Raw genomic sequence first — 20639 nt, 5'->3', positions numbered from 1 at the left:
TTGTTTTCACTCTGTCCTTGTTTCCAGGGAGACAAGGATGAAAAACTGCACAGGCAACCCTCATGGAGGTTCAGGCCTGTAAGCAAGTCAGACAGGCAGGTGAGACACCCCTAAAGCCAGGTGCTGCCCCTGCATGCTCGTCCCATTCTGCACTTGTCAGGGAGCTCCCCAAGGACTGGGAACTGCAGGTTTGGAAGAGAGAGAATTAGGCAGATCTCCGGCTGTGAGCCCCACACTGCATGGAGTGCACACTGTCACTCTCTGGGGCTGCGCCTCTGGTCCGAGATCCCTGGCGGTGTCATAACTCCCACCAGTCACTCCAGTGTTAGGGTCACTGATGTCAACTCCTCTGGTGTTTGAAGCCTGAGAAGCAAACCAGAAACTCTAATACAGCATCCCCTCCCCATAAAGCATTATCAATACATGTTCTAGCATGGCCTGTACTGGGGCAGTGGTAGAGGGCAAGTAGGGCTCACAGAGAGACACCTGCCATCTCCATTAGGTAGAGGACATTGGCACACCCAGCACTCAGGCAGTTCCCTAGGCACATAGTTCAATTTTTAGGGCTCCAAAGCTAAAGGGGAATTACTTAGGAAAAACCTATTTTCTCCTGTTTATCTTATGCATATCTGAGTGTCATGCTCATAATTATTACTTGATAAACAATTACTGTTAAATAATCAAATTAATAGATGGGTTTAATAAGTGGTATGTTAGTAGATGCTTAATAACTGGCTCTAAAAAAATTATAGCATTTGCCCATTTCTGTGATGTAAATTCTCCTGCTTGGCTGATTTCAAGCTACTTATGTGACATCAACTGGCTCACAAAATTCCTGAAAATTTAACAGTTGGTTCTCACTAAGCAGTACCATCAGCCCGAGGAAGCCATTGGACATCCATCCATCATCCCCTGCACTGAGACGGTCAGGCGCATATGCTACGGATACAGGGTCATTCATACTCAGGAAAGCGTAGCTCATCAGCTGGCTACGGATACAGAGTCATACTCAGGAAAGCGTAGCTTGAACACCTGTCTGGTGGACTCCTTCCGGTTACTCTGCTAGACGGGAAGCCCCTCACGAGTAGAACTCAGCTCTTACCCTTTGATTCTGCTACCACTCACTGTATTGCAGACCATCCCTGCTGCAGTTGTGTTTAGAATGGAATCAGTTTCACTGATCCTTAAAGCTGTTATCTCATGCAAGGAGTCTCGTCTTTCAAAACTACAATATCCTGAGGACAAATAGCCAGCACTTTGTGCCAGGTAGGGTCTGGAGCTGCGGGGGCCCAGGGAGAGTGGGCCTGCCTGGCCCCCGAGTCTGATAAACATGCAATGAGGGCCAGCGGACGCGGTGGCCTGTGGGGGTCCGGGGGAACAGCAGGATTGGAGGCCAGCAGGAGGGGCAGGGCAGCCCAGCAGAGCCTCCAGGGTGGGTGCAGGGATGCAGACAGGATGGCTGGACCCTGCTCCAGAGACAGGGGCTTCCCTGCGGGTATCTCCATGCCAGACCTGCATCATCTCTAACACTTTGAGAGGTTAGGCAATAGCCAGCACGGAGGAAAACGGGACAGAAGAGCTTCTGGAAGAATCTTCCACCCCAGCTGTTTACCTGGGTTAACATCCTGTTCCCTGTGTTGGTTGTGGGCTCTGGACCTCAAATTTTCCTGAGCCTCATTCTGATAGCCAGGCTCACGGGCTGCGGCCTCAGCTCCCAGCCAGGGGTCCTAAGCATGGGCTGAAGGCTGAGCTACTCTTTATTCCCTGCTCCAGGATGGCTCCCCGACAGCTCACAGTCCTGCTCCAGGATGGCTCCCCGACAGCTCATGGTCCTGCTCCAGGATGACTCCCCGACAGCTCCTGGTCCTGCTGGAGGATGGCTCCCCAACAGCTCGCTGTCCCAGGCAGGATGTGGTGCTCCTTATGCCTGGGTCCACCCAGCCAGTGCCATGCAGGGGGAGGTCCAGCCCCAAGGTCAGCACCTACAGTCCACCTGCCTTGGGCAGGTGATCATCACAGTGAGGCTCACAACACCCTAGGGTGTTCAGTCCCATGCAGAACTCCTCACCCTCCCATTGAACCTGCTCTCCATGACATCACCATGACATCACCACAACCCCACCGTGACATCACCACATCACCACGACGTCACCACATCACCACGACGTCACCATGACATCACCACTATACCACCACATCACGTCACTATGACATCACTACCTCACCATAACAACACCACATCACCACGACGTCACCACATCACCACGATGTCACCATGACATCACTACTATACCACTTCACGTCACTATGACATCACCACCTCACCATAACAACAACACATCACCACGACGTCACCACATCACAACACAACCACTTCACCATGACATCACATCACCATAACATTACCACGGCATCACCACGATCATATCACCAGGACAGCACCACACATCACCACATCACCATGACACCACTGTCCCACCACTACATCACATCGCTATGACATCACCACCTCCCCATAACATTACAACTGCATCACACAACATCACCATGACATCACCATATCACATCACTATGACATCACCACCTCACCATAACATTACTACCCCATCACCTTGACATCACCATGACATCACCACACCACTATGACACAACCACATTACTATGCCATCACCACTTCACCATGACATCACCACATCACCATGACATCACCAGGCATGTGTGTAGTGTGTGTGCCTGTCTGCATGTTTTCTTCATGTGTGCATGTGCCTATGTGTGTGGCATGTGTGTGGTGTGTGTGCCTGTCTGTGTGTTTTCTGTGTGTGGTGTGTGTGTGGCATGTGTGTTGTGTGTGTGCCTGTCTGCGAGTGTTCTGTGTGTGGTGTGTGTGTGGCATGTGTGGTGTGTGTGCCTGGCTGTGTTTTCTCCATGTGTGTGCCTGTGCCTGTGTGTGCAAGGCACGTGTGTGGTATGTGTGGTATGTGTGTCTGTGTGTTTTCTCTAGGTGCGGTGTGTGTGTGGCACGTGTGGTGTGTGTGCTTGTCTGTGTGTTTTCTCTGTGTGTGGTGTGTGTGTAGCATGTGTGGTGTGTGTGCCTGTCTGTGTGTTTTCTGTGTGTGGTGTGTGTGTGGCATGTGTGGTGTGTGTGCCTGTCTGTGTGTTTTCTCCTCATGTGTGCCTGTGCATGTGTGTGTGAGGCATGTGTGTGGTGTATGTGGTGTGTGTGCCTGTCTGTGTGTTTTCTCTGTATGTGGTGTGTGTGAGGTATGTGTGTGGTGTGTGTGCCTGTCTGTGTGTTTTCTCCGTGTGTGCATGTGCCTGTGTGTGATGCATGTGTGAGGTGTGTGCCTGTCTGCATGCTTTCTCTATGTGTATACCTCTGCCTGTGTGTGCAAGGCACGTGTGTGGTGTGTGTGCCTGTGTGTTTTCTCTGGCTGTGGTGTGTTTGTGGCACGTGTGCTGTGTGTGTCTGTGTGTTTTCTCCTCATGTGTGCCTGTGCCTGTGTGTGTGAGGCATGTGTGTGGTGTGTGGTGTGTGATGTGTGTGATGTGTGTGGTGTGTAGTGTGATGTGTGTGGCGTGTGTGGTGTGTGTGACGTGTGTGGCGTGTGTGGCGTGTGTGGCATGTGTGGCGCGTGATGTGTGTGTTGTGTGGTGTGTGTGGTGTGTGGAGTGTGGCGTGTGTGGCGTGTGTGGTGTGTGGCGTGTGTGGCGTGTATGGCGTGTGTGGCGTGTGTAGCGTGTGTGGTGTGTGGAGTGTGATGTGTGTGGTGTGTAGTGTGATGTGTGTGATGTGTGTGGTGTGTGTGGCGTGTGTGGTGTGTGGCGTGTGTGGCATGTGTGGCGCGTGATGTGTGTGTTGTGTGGTGTGTGGTGTGTGGAGTGTGGCGTGTGTGGCGTGTGATGTGTGTGTTGCGTGGTGTGTGTGGCGTGTGTGGCGTGTGTGGAGTGTGGCGTGTGTGGCGTGTGTGGCGTGTGTGGCCTGTGTTTGTGTGACGCCTGTTTTCTTTTCTCCATCGGTGGGAAAAGCCTGGCAATCCAATTACTTAGAAGCCTTTTAAACCGACTTTCCTCTGTGTCTCTTAGAGAAATGTGCCATTTAAGGTTCTTTGAAGCCATTGCTGAATCTTTCTGTCATTTTGGAAGAAGGACAGGGCAAATCAGAAGGAGCCTCCCTGCTCGGAGTCAAGGTGTTCATCTGATTTGCTGTGGACACTTGTCGGGACCCCTGTTTCTCCGTCCCCATCCGGGAGGCAGTGGAGGGGGAGAAGGTGGGGACAGAGCCCCTCCGCCGGGCCCGCTGCTGCGCAGATGCGGAGGTGACTCCTGGTTCGACACCTGCGAAGGGAGACGGGGCCAGCGCGGGCCTTGCAGCGGCCGCCCACAACTCCTGCTGTCGCGCAGGACAAAGCAACCCCGCCAGGAAGAAAGCTCGAAAATCCGGCGCTTTCTAGGAAACCACTGAAGTCTTTACAATAAAAGGACACTTCTGAAGTCTGAAGACCCAGCTACAGAAACTGTGGCCTGGAGGCGAGGAGGCAGCGAGGAGCGGGAGGGAGGAGGCAGGCGTGGGGGGAGAGGCGGGCATGGGGAGGAAGAGGGGCAGCAGGAAGGGGAAGCCGGGAGCCGCCTTCGCCTGGAAGGGCCTCCCAGATCAGGGCCGGGGGCAGTGTGAAGCCCCCCACTTCATACCATGGCCCTCTCCAGCATAGCAGGGGAACGGGATATCTCAGGTGCTGGCCCCGCCATCTGCCGGACTCTAGATACCCTCCACGGGGGCCCGGCAGGGGTGACAAGGCCCCTCTCCAGCCGCGTTTCCTGCCATAGGAGAGGCTGCTGTCACCACAAGCCACCCCTTTTCTCCCCTTTGCAGACATGGTGGGTGCTCACGGCCCCTGAGGCCACTTCACCTGAGGGCCAAGGTCAGCTCTGCTTTTGGGAGGGGCCCTTCCTGTCACCAGGTCCCTGCCAGCCCTGGAAGCTATGGCCCTGGACCGCTGGGCTGGAAAGTCTGAACCTGGGAAAGGGGTACGAGAGGCCGGGTATAGTCCAGCAGGGCCTTCCTTCCTGAGGGTACCTGGGTCAAGCCCAGGTTTCGGGTGGCCATGGGCACCCTTGCCTGCACCCCACAAGCAGAGCCCAGGAAGTCTGCATGGACCTCTGAGCTTGGTGGGAATTTCTGCCACAGGCTCTGAACCCTGTGGCCAGTGCCCAGTCACCCTCCCTCCTGTCGGTCAGCGGACAGGGACGAGGCTTCCCTGGGGCCTGCATCTGCTTTGCTGGGAACAGAGGAGAGCCTGAAGCCCGCTTAGGGGTCTGAGTCAAGGGGGGCCAGTGTGGCACCTGTCAGGGGTCTTCAAGCTAGCCCCTCACACCCCTGCTAAGTGCACCTGGATGGGCTGTGTGCCTTCCCTCCTAGAGACTTGGACAGTCACTGGCATGTGCCAAATCTGTCCCAGGTAGACTGGACACTGGATTGCTGAGTGAGGGGCTGTGAGGATACCCAGGTGACCGCAGAAACCTTGACCAGAAACAAAGCTGCACACTAAGAGCCAGGTTGGCCTCTTTGGCCATGGCTCTAGCTCCTCGAGAGATCCATCTGACCAAACCAGAGCAGCCACCCATGGCCTGGAGCCATGCCCACGGCATCTGCCTCAGGGACTCAGCCATGTCTGCCTCATTCCGCCGTCCCCCAGTGTCTGCCCCACTACCCCACCGCAACTCTTGGTCAGTTCCAGGTTCCTTAGGTCAGCCAATGCTGCCTTCTCTTCAAATTTCAACCCGAACTTTACCACCAGCACCACTTGGCCACGGGGGAGGGACTCCCTCCTGAAGGGTGCCCATGGTGCCATCCTGGGGGTCTCTGGTTCTGCCTGCCCCGCCGAGCCTCACTGCCTGAACTGAGTGGTCTGTGTGAGGCTGCCGGAGCCTCCCGGTTCTCACCACATGTGTGAGGCCCTTCTCCTTTTTGTGATGTGAGGTTAGAATCTCGACATTCAAATCCCAGCATCTGTGCGAGCTGCAGGAAACCCATGAGCCTGCCCTCAGCTGTCCTGTCACAGAGGTGACGACACTCGAGGTTTTGAGACCACGTCTGAATCCTAATGCTATTGCCTGTAAAATTTCCATTAATTACAATTGCTTCTCCATCTACTGGTCCCTAGAACATTCTGGTAATAATGTCATGACCACAATTCAAAGCCTTCCTCTTTAATTACTTGTGTTGTCTGGGAAGGCAGGGCTGGACTAGCTGTCCCCAGGCCTGCCGGATGGAGCCCTCCCACAGCAGCAGCCAAACCTCCTGGGTCCTCGTCTCCCACAGCAAAGCAAAGCAGCATGGTTCTGAATCCAGCCCACGCTTGTCTGCCCCAGACCACCTTCCTCCTTCCAGGAAAATAGCCAGCTTCCTAATATGCGTGTGCTGGTGGAAGCCAGAGAGGACTTCCAGCCTGCTCCTTCCCTAGAGAGCTTTCTGAATTGTTCCATCTAATAAGCTCACATAAGGTTTTGCTTTCAGATTGAAACTTTCCATTTCAGACCATGGAATGACCCAGAAGACTCCAATGATGGTGTCAGAAAGTGACAATTATCCCTGTGACCTCTGTTGGCCTTCACGGGTCACAATGCCTCAGTGTCCCCTGCCCAGCCCACTGTTCCACAGCCGGGCAGTCAACGGGGATCTCTAAAGGTTGAGCTCAGATCTAGGGAGAAGACTTGACATGATGCCTGCCGGTACAACACCATAATTTGCAGATATGGCTGTGCCTGGCCAGGAATGACAGCTGCTTCCGCAGCCTGGGACACGCACGTCCTGCCCCCACTGCCCACGGATCCACGCCGCCTTCTTCCTCATCCCCTGTGTCCCTGCACTACCTGGTTCTTCCCCATGCTACCTCCCAGGAAACCTCTGGACACAATTGCTCACCCCTCACTGCAGCTGAGGATGTGCAGCTGTCGCGGGGATCCTGTCTCAGGACATGCAGTGCAGGGCCCCTGCTGGGCATTCCCCTGACATGCTTTAGGTTTCCAACACAAGGTTCCCCATTTCCAGTGGGCACCTGTCATAGGTGAACTCCTGAAAAATAGAGTCAATCCAGCCCCTTGTATTGTATCATGACATCCACCGAAGGCTTATGGTTTTTATGCCTTGAGGGCTCTGTTTTCACCCATGATGCAACCTGTAGGTGGTACAAAAATAAATGCCTCAAAGGCATGCTCTTACAACAGACAGCGAGGAGGAAAATGCAGCCCTCTTCCGTCCAGCCCCAGCCAGCATTATGCTGTATCTAGTAGGAGGTCAGCCACCAGTCTGGAAAGGTTCTTCAATCTCCCCCGTCTTGGCCTAGAGTTACCTGAAATACTCCGCTTAGATGCTCATTCTGTAGGTGCGATGTGGACCTTGCCCTGGTGTTCTCCTTCCCGGACATTTAAATTCCTAGGCCTGGGCCAGCCCATCAAGAGAGGATGGCACCATCCCATTGCTCTGCTCCGATGGCTGGAGAAGCTCAGGTTCTAGCCAAGGGGTCCCTGAGAGACTGAGGAAAGGAAGATGGAAACAGTTCTCCACCTTCAGCAGGTCCTGTTCATTCTCCCATCAGAGTACGCTTGGAACGGGATTGTCTCCTCACCACAGCCACCCCAGGTGTGGCCTTCTCCATCGCCCACCCGGACAGCTGCACGCTGAGTGCTGAGTGTGGCCTTCTCCATCGCCCACCCGGACAGCTGCACACTGACAGGTGCTCATTCCACCTGCCTGATCCCATCACCTGCCTCTTAGCTCCAGCTGCATGGGCCTCCACTCGGAACTGACCTGGTTTGTTTCTAGCATGGAAGACTTTGCCCATCAGCTCTCCCCACCCAGGTAGCTTTGTCCAGGTCTTCTCCTTCAAGGCAGTCTGCTGCCAGATCAAGGAACGCACCCTGAGAGGGACAACTTTGCCTCCCGATCTAAACAAAGTACTTCCCTTTTTTAGTCTATTATTTTCATCATAGCACTTATTAGAAGTAGGCATTATATTTTCAGTCGATGTGTATTCCATCTGTAACCCCTATTAGGAAGTGAACCTTACGGAATCTTGTCTAGTTCAGCACTGAATCGTGAGTGTCTAGAACACAGCAGGCACGTGGTGGACACTTTCAGGGGTATTTGTAGGGTCCATGTGCAGAGGACGGGAGAAGGCGCTTCCATTCCAGTTTTGTTGGAATCGACTCCATTGCCACGCAGCTGCCTCACGTGCTGGGGCACTAAATATTCGGAGAGGACTGTGGCAGCAGAGTACTGAGCTCCATGCAGGGGGCTCCTGTGAGTGTCACTGAACAGGCGACCTGGGCTGAGGACGGGGCAGGTAAGGGCTACGCTCCACCCAGCAGCGCGAGGTCATCCTATCACTTTTCTAAGGGAGTGACAGAGTCCAGACTCCACTGAACTTCTGCCTTTTACGATCGAGGCTCTGCATGCTTTGACATTCTGTGTTGGTCCTGGCCCCAGAGCCTGCTTGCTGGTGTCGGATGCTCTCATATTCCTCACCCAGTATTGTGCTCCCTTCACCCCGGGCCATTTCCTCTGCCAGGAGCTCATTGTTTGGGAACAAGACTCTCCCCATTAGCTGCCCCATTTCCTAGGTGTTCAGCAAGACACAGGCAGAGAGACAGCTCCTTATCACAGGTCAAGATGGAAATGTGATTCCTGAATAGCAAGAGTTCAGCTGAAAGGCACTAAGTTGTCTTCTTGCACATAGCAGACATTTGAAAAATTTCCACTGTGAAAAGGGCTGAACTTCCTCATCACAGCTCATAGTAATATGGTGCCTTGTACCCACCTTAATGACATTTAGTTAACTTCTGTAAGGGAGTCATTTGGAATAAGCTTCAACAATACAAAGTAGGTGAGACAAAATTCATTAAACAAATGTTTATTAAATCAGTGACACTGTAACAGATTCATAAGAGTGAAAACGTATCCAACTTACAGGAAGACAACAGGAAAATTAAAAAACCAGATGCCATTTTCCCACATTATGTATTTAGGCAAGAAACAGGACTAGAACATATAGAGGATTTCAGCATATCCCATGAAAGCAGTTTGAAAGAGCCTCTGAGGTCACTGCAGAATCAGCCCGTGTACCTGGACCCGTAATCTCTAAAGGCTAGAGTGGCCTTCCAGCTCTGTCAGGCCCAGTTTCTCGGTGACCATCTGGAGGAGCTGAGGCTTCGAGGACTTGTGCCCACTGCTGAGGGTCATTGAGTCAATGGTGGTGGCGCCAGGTGTCCAGCATTCGTGGGACGTTGCACCTAATTCTCTCCTGGTACCCCTGTGACTTCCTCCATACCTGAGTATTGGCTTGAATGGCCCAGTTTACACCCATAAAGGTGGCTCTGAAGATGGGCAAAGAATGGCCAGCTCACTGAAAACATTAAATGATGTTGTGGACAGCTTAGTGCCAGGTGCCTACGACAATATTCTACCTCTCCTGAGAAGATCTGGCCCTTCCCATCTAGGCCCAGGCCGGTGTCCGTGCACCTTCAGGCCGGACGTGCTCTGGACGTCCCCCAGCCCGGGTTTCCCACCTTCGGTGTGGCTGTCTCTCACTGGGAATGCGGGGGATGTCACTGGGTCTATGGGGCTGGGCCTGAGAGTTTGAACTTCTGAAGCCTCTGCAGGTTCCCAGGGAAGCCTGGTGCTGGACCCCGTGACGTTTTACAGCCCAGGGTACTGAAGCTCACAGTGGGAAGGGACTGGCTCCAGGTCGCTTGGGTGGCTTCTGTGCCTCTGAACTCCCCTCACTCTCAGCCCCACACGTCTCCACCGCCCTGACGTCAACCCCACAGGCTGCGGATCACTCACAGAGTGCGGTCAGTGACAAACATGAAGCCGCGTATGAAGCATACTCAGGCCAGCTGATTTTCTAGCTGCAAATTGGCAGGAGAGAAGGCCTGATGCACACTCCTGGCTGATAGCTGTGTGTAAACAAAACAACCCGCCCCCCGCTTCAATCTGTCCATAATATGACAGTTCAGGGGTTCAAGAAACGTTATTCAAATAAACTTAATGTTGAAATAGTGACTTCAAACCACAAAATTAATCTGAATGAAAACACAGTTGTGTTAAGAATAGACAGTTTCGTTATCTTAATTCTGTGAGAGCTGAATTTTTCCAACTAATTTTTCCCTACCGTAAATTATAAGCATTTAAAAATTCTCAGGAAAAGCCGTGAGTGGGTGTCCTTCCTTCTTCACGGAGTTTCCTTTGGCGCAGTGGCGGCGTGGGGTGCTCACAGGTCACGGTAGACCCTTCGCCCCAACCCAAGGCGGGAACAAGTCCCGTGTGGCCCCTGCTCCTTCCAGCCAAACTCTGCAGTTCACCCACTACCAGGAGACTGGAGTATGCCCTGGAAGATATCAGGGGCTTCCTCGGCCCACGAGATGGGTACATATGGCTGCCTGCCAGCAGCAAGGCCATGTCCGGTGTCGCCCCTGAGCTGCAACCTGAGTTGATTGCTCTCCAGGGTCAGCGCTGTCCAGACCTCCACCTTAGCAAACGCTGTCCTCCAGTGAGGAACGGCCTTTCTGTCAGACTCCTTTCCTCCCGGAAAGTGGTCAGCTCCACCCACCTCTCAAGTCCCCCGGTAAGACGGTGACTCCAGGTAAGACAGTGACCCCCGGTAAGACGGTGACCCCCAGTACGGTGGCACCTGTCTCTGCCTCCACAGCAGAGTGTGCAGACCCCCTGTCTCAGTCAGCTGGGGCTGCCTTAATGGAGACCACGGGCCAGGCACATAGGCCAGAGCTTTATTCCTCAAGGCCCTGGAGGTGGAAGTCCAAGATGAAGGTACCGACTGACTTGCTTCTCTGGGCTTGCAAGCGACGCCTTCTCACTGTGTCCTCACGTGGGGTTTCCTCTGTGCACACACACCCCCTGTGTCCCTTCCTCCTCTTATGGGGACACCAGCCCTGTCGGGTCAGGGCCCACCCTGACGACCTCATCTAACCTTAGTTACCTCCATGAGGGCTGTCTCCAACACAGCCACACTGGAGCGAGGGCTTCAGCATATGAATTTAAGGGCACACAATTCAATCCATGACACCCATCATCTGACAACACAGGAACCGCTGGGGTGTGTGTGTCTGGTGTGTGAGAGTGTGTGTGTGTATCGAGTGTGCAACAATGTTTGTGTATGTGTTTGTGTCTGCTTGTCTCTATGAGTGTGTGTGTTGTGTGTCGATGTATTTTTGTGTCTGTGTGTGTGTGTGTGTGTGTGTGTGTGTGTGAGCCCACACGCATTTGCTTAATGTCTACCTCCTCCTCTCGTAGGTGGGGAACATTCCCAGGCAGGAAAGGTATCTTATTAGGGATGCGAGAGTTCTAAATACTTGCACCCTGGCTTGGGGAGTGAACTGGGAGAGGGCGAACAAGGGGCGCCAATTAGCACCAATTCCTAAGTGGAGCTGCCCTAACTGCGCCGGCCCCTGGGGACCTGATTAAGTTCCAGGTGCCTGCCGCAGCTCAGCAGCTCCGCGGTGCCTAATCAGCTCTCGAAACGTGGAGGGCTGCCTGCCGCTGTGTTTTGACTGCGCCACGGAATCATCTGGGTCTGCTTTTTCTTCTCTCCCCTTGCCCTAGTGAAGGAAGAGATGGCAGGGCATACGCACAAATAAGCACCCTATTTGGCTAGATAATTCCTGCTTGTTCCATGTGGGAGACATTTCTGCTATGGCAAGGCAGGCAGTAAAGGCAGCAAGAGGAAGGAAGAACTGAATCCACAAAAGTCGTAATAGGTGCTGCTAAAGAGGAGGAATTATTCCTAAGCAAATAAGAGGGCGTCTGTCTTCTTGGATTACGGGAGCTCTTATGCTCAGGATGGAGCCTCAGGGAACTCAGAGGCCTCCGTGGCCTTGGGGAGTCGCTCCCCTCTTTGAACCCATTGTCTCCAGCCCCGAAGAGGGGGAGGGAAGAACAGTGCCCCCCCGCCCCCGCCTGTCTGCAAAGGCTCTCCTGAGGGTGCAAAAGATAATGTGCATGACACTGTGTGGCACTGCCTTTGAGACCTGGGGCTCTGTGTTTCTCCTAAATAATAATAAAAATGCTAACAGTAATAGCTGCTATTTCTAGGTCTCCTGGTGTCCCAGACATTATGGTAACTGTTTTAATGCGAACTTTACAGGTAACCCTGATAACCAGGTGAGAGCATTGCCCTGGGTTTACATACACCGGCTGAGGCTTAGCCGCTTTTCTTTAAAGGTCCAAGGCCACATCACAAGGGAGTGGTGGAGGAAGGGCTCCAATGGGTGCTGTCGTCTTTGTATTCTCAGGGTGACTGATCTGAAGCCTATGGATTTGGAAACATATCACCTGCCCACTACCAACTGGGGTCTTACTTGGTAGGCAGCAGTCACGGTGCCCGACAGTGTGGGGATGAAGCTGCCCTGCTTAGCCCTGCTGTGTGACTCCCCCAGCCCTTGTACCGAATCACCTTACAGAGATCCAGAAACAGCGTTCCTGCCCCCAAGAGCCTCTGCAGCCGCCTGCAGCCCACTGGAAAGACCACATCTCTGAAGATTCTGCCAAAACAACATTTCTCATTCCCGCTGTCTCCACAAATCCTTCTCTCTGTGGGTATCTTGGCTCCTGAGCCCAGGCTGGTGCCACCTTTGGGGAGGAGGCCTGAGTGGTGTCACGTACGGTCTCACCCACCCACCTGCCCACCTGTCTCACCTGCCTCACTTGCCCACCTGCCTCACTTGCTTCACCTCCCCATCTGCCTCGTCTGCCCACCTGCATCACCAGCCCACCTGCCCTCCTATCTCACCTGCCTCACTTGCTTCACCTGCTCACCTGTTTCACCTGCCTCATCTGCTCACCTATCTCTCCAGCCTCACTTGCTTCACCTCCCCATCTGCCTCGTCTGCCCACCTGTATCACCTGCCCCACCTGCCCACCTATGTCACCTGCCTCATCTACCCACCTGCCCACCTGCCTCACCTGCCAAGGGTGGCATTTTCACACCCCCCACACCAGGAGAACTCTTCATAAGCGAGATCTCCTGGAAGGGCAAAGCTGTGCGCATATTCCTTTCAGGGCCCAAACGAAGGGAACCTGCCTCTCGTAGGTGGGGGTGGGGATCTCCCAAACTGTCTCCGAGTGACAGAGAGGGGCTTCAAGGGATGGGTGGGTGGGAGGAGCTGGGCTGCTCAGATGTGTGAGGAGAAGGCACACTCTAGGTGTTGCAGGGAGGATGCACACAGGGTGTGATGAGCTCTAGAGCCCAAGGGCCCAGGACTTCCACCTGGTAGCCTGGCAGCCTTTTGAGGAGCCCACCCCAGAGGCCCGTGGAGGCTCCCCAAGAGCTCAGGGGCAGATGCCATTAGCATCCCATCTGCAGGTGAGGGCTGAGAGAGTCGTTCATGTGTTCCAGGTCCCACCACCACAAATGGCATGGGCTGTAGCAGAACTGAGACCTTCCAACTGCACATGCTACTTCACAACAGCTCCTAACTGAGCCTCTGCCCCCTCCCAAGGCCCTTTCCATCATCTCAAGAGTTGAGGAAGTCATAGACCCATGCTGATCGAGCTGAAGCAAAACCCACCTCAAGCTGGGCGCAGTGGCTCATGCCTGTAATCCCAACACTTGGGGAGGCTGAGGCAGGTGAATCACCTGAGGTCAGGAGTTCAAGACCAGCCTGACCAACATGGTGAAACTCTGTCTCTACTAAATACAAAAAATTTAGCTAGGCATGGTGGTGCATGCCTGTAATCCCAGCTACTTGGGAGGCTGAGGCAGGAGAATCACTTGAATCCAGGAGGCAGAGGTTTCGGTGAGCCGAGATTGCACCATTGCACTCCAGCCTGGGCAACAAGAGCAAAAACTCCATCCAGAAAAACAAAAAAAAAAAAGCAAAAACCCCACCTCAGCTGTGTTTCTTGACTCTGTGCCATGCTAAGACATCACATACTCTCCCTCATGTGGACATCCCTGCTTAATTTGGAGCAAAATGGAAAAAGGACAACCACTCAGCCATTCCATAAGAAATGGGTTTAATCAATGTGGGCTTTGGGGAACAGAAAGATGACTTTTTTTCCTCACCACCATTCTGACCATGGCAATATCAAACACGGTGCATACAGTGAGCGTCCACCATTCACCTGGGAATGTGCTGGACACTCAGAGGGACAGACGAAGGTAGGCAGTGTTGCCTGCTGGACACAGGTGGGCTCTGGGTTCCGAGGGCTCTGGGTGGAATTATGCTGCCGCCACCACTGGCTCTGGAACATGGGGTAAGTTAGGTCACGTCCCTGGTGTCCATTTTCTCAAAGAGAGATGAATGTTTCCCTCCCAGGTAGCTGGTGTTTATGAAGAAGCTGTGATGGGATGATGGACAGGGGCAGCTCGCTCTGTGCTGGGGCACAGGATTGATGGCGCCCACTGACAGCATCCGCCGAGCGTTTCCTGCGTGCCCGGCCCTGCCCCCAGAGCTTCCTGCGCATTTCCTCACAAATCCGCATGAACACCATCTGGGTAGTTACTGTTATTCATATTTCATAGATGAAGAAATCTAGGAGTTGGTGTTCCTGCCTTTAAATATATCACTTCTGTGTATTTAGGGAGTCAAAGTGGATACACTCAAAAGAGGACCCTGCAAGGGGTTTGCTGCAACACGAAAGGGAAGGACACCACCCTGGAGGTGCAGGGAGCTCGGACTCAGCTCCAGCTCTCCCCCTGCCTGCTGTGTGCATCTTGGCATGGCTGGAGGTTGCTGCATCTCCCTTGCCCATCAGGACTAGCTTCCCTGGGCTGCCGTAATAGGCCACCACAGACTGAGGGGTGAGAAGTTCAAGATCAAGACATCTAAGGGCCATGTCCCTCCCAAGGCCCCAGGAGAGGACCCTTTCTGCCTCTCCAGCTTCTGGAGGCCCCAGGTGCTCCTTGGCTTGTGGCCACATCGCTCCCATCTCTGCCTCCCTCCTCACACACTCCTTCCCTGTGTGGCTGTGTCTTCATGTGGCATATTCCGTGTGTCTGTGTCCACAGTTCTCTATTCCTGTAAAGACGCTTGGCATTAGAGTGGGGCCCATCAATCCAGTGCAAGCTCATCTTAACTTGATTGTTCCTGCAAAGAACCTGCTTCCGAATTAGCAAATTCGGTTCCAGCAGTCAGGATGTGAACACATCACTGGGAGGACAGAATCTGACCTGCCACAACATGCATTGCATCAGAAAGTCATTGATGCCTCCCATGGCTCTTACGAGATTAAATGAGATCATAGAGAGGAGGCTGAAGTTGTCTTGCTCTTGCAGTTCTGTGTAAGAAGAATCTACTGAATGTTGAGAAGTGTGTTGGGATAAGCATGTGCTGTGATGAAGCGCATCATAACTGCTTGGCTAGTGAGAGCTCCCGGAAAAAAAACTGGCACAGAAGTCGCCTAGGAGAAAGGGGATCTTCCTCACCTGAACATCGGGCCACTGCTTCTGCTTATTCCCCGTCCTCAGCGAGGGGCTCCTCCCACAACTCAGTCAGCGCCGGCCTCCTGAGTCAAGTGGGGCCAGATTCCTCCAGGGCGTCCGCTGGACATGCTCAATGCGTTATGAAAATGCCCCTTTCTTAAGGAGAGCACTGAGCAGGCTGGCTGAGGCTCCACATAGACAGTGGTTTGCAAGTGCTGCCCAGAGTCAAGAGCAACATCTAAGCCCTTAGACACAGAGGTCTCATCATCCCTGGGAGGAGCCTGGGCTGGCGTCCATCTGTCCCCATGGGCTGGTGCCCACTCACAGATGGATGTAAAGCCAGCTCCGGTACCCAGATCCCCATGACTCATATGGGCGTCCACACCCCACAGCCGGTCTCCCTGTCAGGCCCTGCTGAGCTAGCAAGGAAGTCCAGCACTTTGGAGGGTCGCAGAGGACAAATCTTTGTCTTCAGAAAGTTTATCAGGGAAAACACTGCATTTGGGAATAGAGGTGGGACCCAGGGAGGGTAACAGAGGAGGAACCGGACCCTGCGCCAGCCCCGAAGTGGCAATGGGGAGGGCAGTAGGGAGCAGAGGAGCTCAGCTACATGCAGCACAAGCTGGGCACATGCTGTGTGTTCTGCCGCTGTGCACAGCACACACTCTGCCGTAAATACAGAGGCAAATCCTGCCACAGTAGCTTCCCCTCAGTGCTTTATTCACTCTGTACCCACAGTCCAGTTATCAGCTCAAAGCCAGGCTAACAGACTTTGTAAGACTTGGCAGCTTCTATTGCAGAGGGCTGCTTGTACTCCCTTTCCCTGGGCTTTGTTGAGTGTCTATTTTGTGCCAGCCAGCATGCCAGACGTCCAGAGCTTGCAAATGAACACCAGGTTCCCAATGCACCAAGGCTGTGTGTTTGAAGGTCAACAGAATCCAGCGTGACCTGCACCCCACCAGGTGTGCAGCAGTGCTCAGTTGGAGGGGCCAGTCCCCAGTTCTGTGACAGGGATGAGGGACCCGCTGGACAAGATGTGTCTTGGGTCACTGCTCTCCAGATATGTGTTGTCCTGTTAGAGAAATGGAATGAAATCCTGGTGTCTGGGGATGGGGTGAGGAATTTTATAATGTTATGAAACTAGAAAGGATCTCAGGAATCACTGAAGGCTCCTCGCTCATTACAGAGTTCACAAACCTGGCAGCCAAAGGGATGAAAATAAATTCAAAGGCTCAGGTTTAGAACAAAACCCAGGCTTCCCTAAATCAAATAGAGTGAATTTATGTCACCCCATGCGCTGCTGGAGAACAGATGCTCCTGGAAGAGGTACTTGGACAGAAGGAGCCACAGCCAAAGACTGAGGGCAGCAATCCGCACCCAGAAGGCTCTCGGTGAATTTCCTGCACACACACAGATGAGCAAACAGGCTCGTGAGTGGATTCCACCAAAGTGGGCCTGTGTCCTCACTCCTGAAACCCACAAGCATGACCTTTTGGGAAAAGGGTCTCTGTGGATTAAGGATCTGTAGATGAGATCATTCCTGACAAACTGGGTGGGCCTTAAATATAATAAATGTTCTTAGAGACAGAAGAGGAGGCCACGTGAAGATGGAGGCAGAGATTGGAGCTGTAGGGCTACAGCCAAGGCATTCCTGGGGTCCCCAGGAGCTGGAAGAGGCAGGAGGTGGATTAGGCAGCTCAGGCTGTTGTAACAAAATGCTGCCGACTGGGCAGCTTCAACAACAGACATATATTTCCCACCATCCAGGAGCCTGGGAAGTCCAAGGTCAAGGTGCTGTCAGGGATGTTTTCCAGTGAAGCCTACTTCCTGGCTTGGAGATGGTACCTTCCTTCTATGTGCTCACACGGTTTGTATGTGCCTGGAGACAGACAGCTCTAGTGTCCCTCCCTCTCCTTGTAAGGTCACAGTCCTATTGGATTAGGACCCCACCCTTATGACTTCACTTAACTTAATTACCTCCATGAAGGGCCCACCTCCAAATAGTGTCACGTGGGGGTGGGGCTTCGACCTAGAAATTTTGGGTAGACACAATTTAGTCCATTTCCGAAGGATCCTCCTCTAGGGCCTTCAGAGAGAGCATGGCCCTGCCAGCACCTTGATCCTAGACTTCTGGCCTCCAGAACTGGGAGAGGACACATTTTTCTTGTTTTGAGATTGGCAGTATGTGGTCCTGCGTTGCAGCAGCCCCAGAACATTAGTGCAGCCACAGTGGTGTCCGGATCCTCCTGCCGTTCTTTCATGGCTCGGCCCGGCCACTGCACATCTGCTTGTTGGGGAAAGAAAAGAAAGTGAATGGGATGATGTGAAGGGAAGATGGTTTCAACTTCGACCAGCATGGACATGATTTGCAATTAAACGATTGTCTCCCTTGTAAACTTACTAATTTTGTGCAGGGCGGCCATGGCCAACTGCAAAAAGTTCTGTTTTGCAAAAAGACAAGAGGAAAGAGAGAAGTTAAGGCTGCCAGTGAATGACCTGTTTTCCTACCTTTAAATGCTATACATTGTTCCTTATAGTAGGAATATATTGTGTTTTTTAAATTATATTGTGAACTACTCCTTTTTTATAATTATCATTTTAGGAAAGCAAGTAAAAGATGCCCATGGGTTCGTTAAACTAGAAAAATGTGACTTAATCTTCCTTCCCCTGCCGTAACTCCTAGAAGCCACCCCAGCCACATTTCCTCTCTCCATTACTCCAAATTTGATTTGAAGGGCAGTCTGTTCACCTTCCCCAGGTGATGCTCATCGGAGCTGAGTGGTCACCAGCTAAGAGGGGCTTGGTTCTTTTCCTCGTCTTTCCATCAAACTCTTCTTTTCCTCCCTCACCACACAAAGTGCGTGTGTTTCATCCTTCTAGTGCTGAAGCATTGCCCTTGCCTGCAATGTCTTGAGTCTAGGTGAGCAGCTCTCCCATCTGACTGCTCCCTTGTTGTCTCCCAGCCTGGAGCTCGATGGAGTCTCCATCTTTTCTATCACGTCTTCTTGCACCGGAGCTATAATGATCCCATGACAGCTTGGCTCGTGCATGGCTGTTTGTGATTCATAGGAAGCATGCGTGTATTCTTTCCCTGGATAACTCAGGAATACAGGATGATTCCAATGAAACAATAACTCATCACTCTGCTGCCGTCAGAGCTCCTAAAGAGCCACCTCCCCCCACCAACCCCTGTGAAACATATCACAATACTATGACCTAGACACAGAGCAGTCAGAAGGGGTAATCCCAGGGGTGGATGTTTACAGCAGAATAGTGACGAAGTACAAAACCACATTCCAGGTTGATGTGGTCTTAGGCAGGTCCCCCGCCTCCCCCTTGCTGCTAGAAGAAGCAAATCTTCAGAGGAAAAACAGTCCTAATTTAGGGCCACAGGACAATCCCAGCCAGAGTCACAACAATGTCCACCAAGAAAGTGACCACGCATAGAAGTCAGGGGAAACTACAAGGAAAATGTATATTCCCAAGGTTTGCAAACACCGGAATTTTCAGATGGCATACAGTAGAGGTGTACATAGATATTCAGAGAAATAGAAGATATAATTACAAAAATGAACAGGCAACAAGAGGCTTGTGGATAAATTTGAAAATAAATACAAAAATTTTAAACTAGAGCTACCACGTGATCCCACCTCTGGGTACACAACCAAAGGAAATGAAATCAGTGTCTGAAAGTGATAGCTGCACCCTCATGTTCATTGCAGCATTAACATTATTATGTAGAAGAGGTGTAAATTGCAGCATTAATATTATTACGTAGAAGAGGTGTAAACAACCTCCATGTCCATCAACAGATGAAAGGACAAAGAAAATACAGCAGACACATAGAATGGAATATCACTCAGCCATAAAAAAGGAAATCCTGCCATTTATGACAATACAGATGAACCTGGAGGATATTCTGCTAAGTGGAATAAGCCAGGCGCAGAAGGGCAAATACTACATGATCTCACTCACATGTGGAATCTAAACAGGTTGAACTCATAGAAGCAGAGAGGAGGACTGTGGTTGCTAGCGGCTGGGAGTGGGGAAATGTTGGTCAGGTGCTATAAAATTTCGGTTCTAAGATGAATAGGTTCTGGGGGTCTAATGCACAGTGTGGTGACTATGGTTAATAATACGCTATTGTGTAGGCCAGGCAGTGGCTCCTATGTGCAATACCAGTGCTTTGGGGGCTGAGGCAAGAGGATTGCTTGAGACCAAGTGTTGGAGGCTGTAGTGAGCTAAGATGGCCATTGCACTCCAGCCTCGGTGACAGAGCAAGATCTTGTCATCATCATCATAATCATACTATATTGTATACTTGAAATTTGCCAAGAGCATAGATCTTAAGTGTCCTCAATACACATACACACACACACACACACACACACACACAACTGGTAACTATGTGAGATGATGAATGTGTTAGTTAACTTTATTATCATAATCATTTCATAATGTATACTTACATCAATGTGTCATGTTGTAGATCTTTGATATATATTGTTTTTATTTATCAACTATACCTCAAGAAGCTGAAAAAATATAAAAGGAACTCCTAAAAATTAAAAAACTCTATTTTTTATTTATAATAAATATTTACATAATAAAATTGATTTATTTTATATATAATATATATTAAGTCTGTGTGATTTGTTAAACTAAAAATTATAAATAACTCAGTGGATGAATTAAATGTCCAGTGAGTCATGATTATAAAAAAAGAAAGAAATTAAAGATATGTCAAAAAAGTTTATAGAAAGGAGAAGATATGAATTGTAATTTGAGACATAAAGGGCAAAAAAGAAGAGAAGGCCTCACATACTGTCAAAGTCCAGAAAAGAGGAGAGAGAAAAATGGAAGAAAAGCAATCTGAAGAGCTAGTGCCTACAAATTTTCTAGAAATGATTAAAAGCATGACACATGCCTGTTTCAGGATGCACCATGTATTCTCTGCATGAAGACTTACTGAAATCTTTGCCTACTCTCATTTTAGCAAAACTGCAAAACATCAAAGGCAAGGAGAAGATGTTAAGGAGAAAGAAAGGAATGACAATTAGAAAGCTAGGAGAACCCTCAAGAGCAACCATGAAAGACAATGAAACAATATCTTCAAGACGTTGATGGAAGAGCATTTTTATTCAGCCAAACTGTCTTTTCAGTACAAGAAAAAGAAATGCTGTTAAATAAATAAGAGAGATA

General features: G+C 51.4%; 1 annotated feature.

Annotated features, from left to right (window-relative positions):
- Nucleotides 10128–11085: an enhancer, noted in NCBI's record as "H3K4me1 hESC enhancer chr2:2569029-2569986 (GRCh37/hg19 assembly coordinates)". NCBI's record gives its function as "activates a minimal SCP1, AML or CMV promoter by ChIP-STARR-seq in naive H9 embryonic stem cells {active_cell/tissue: H9 hESC(naive)}" and the evidence as "EXISTENCE:reporter gene assay evidence [ECO:0000049][PMID:30033119]".

Source organism: Homo sapiens, chromosome 2, assembly GCF_000001405.40.
Source record: "Homo sapiens chromosome 2, GRCh38.p14 Primary Assembly".
Classification (NCBI taxonomy): Eukaryota; Metazoa; Chordata; class Mammalia; order Primates; family Hominidae; genus Homo; species Homo sapiens.
Note: the sequence above shows the minus strand (reverse complement) of the source record. Positions and strands in the feature narration are given on the sequence as shown.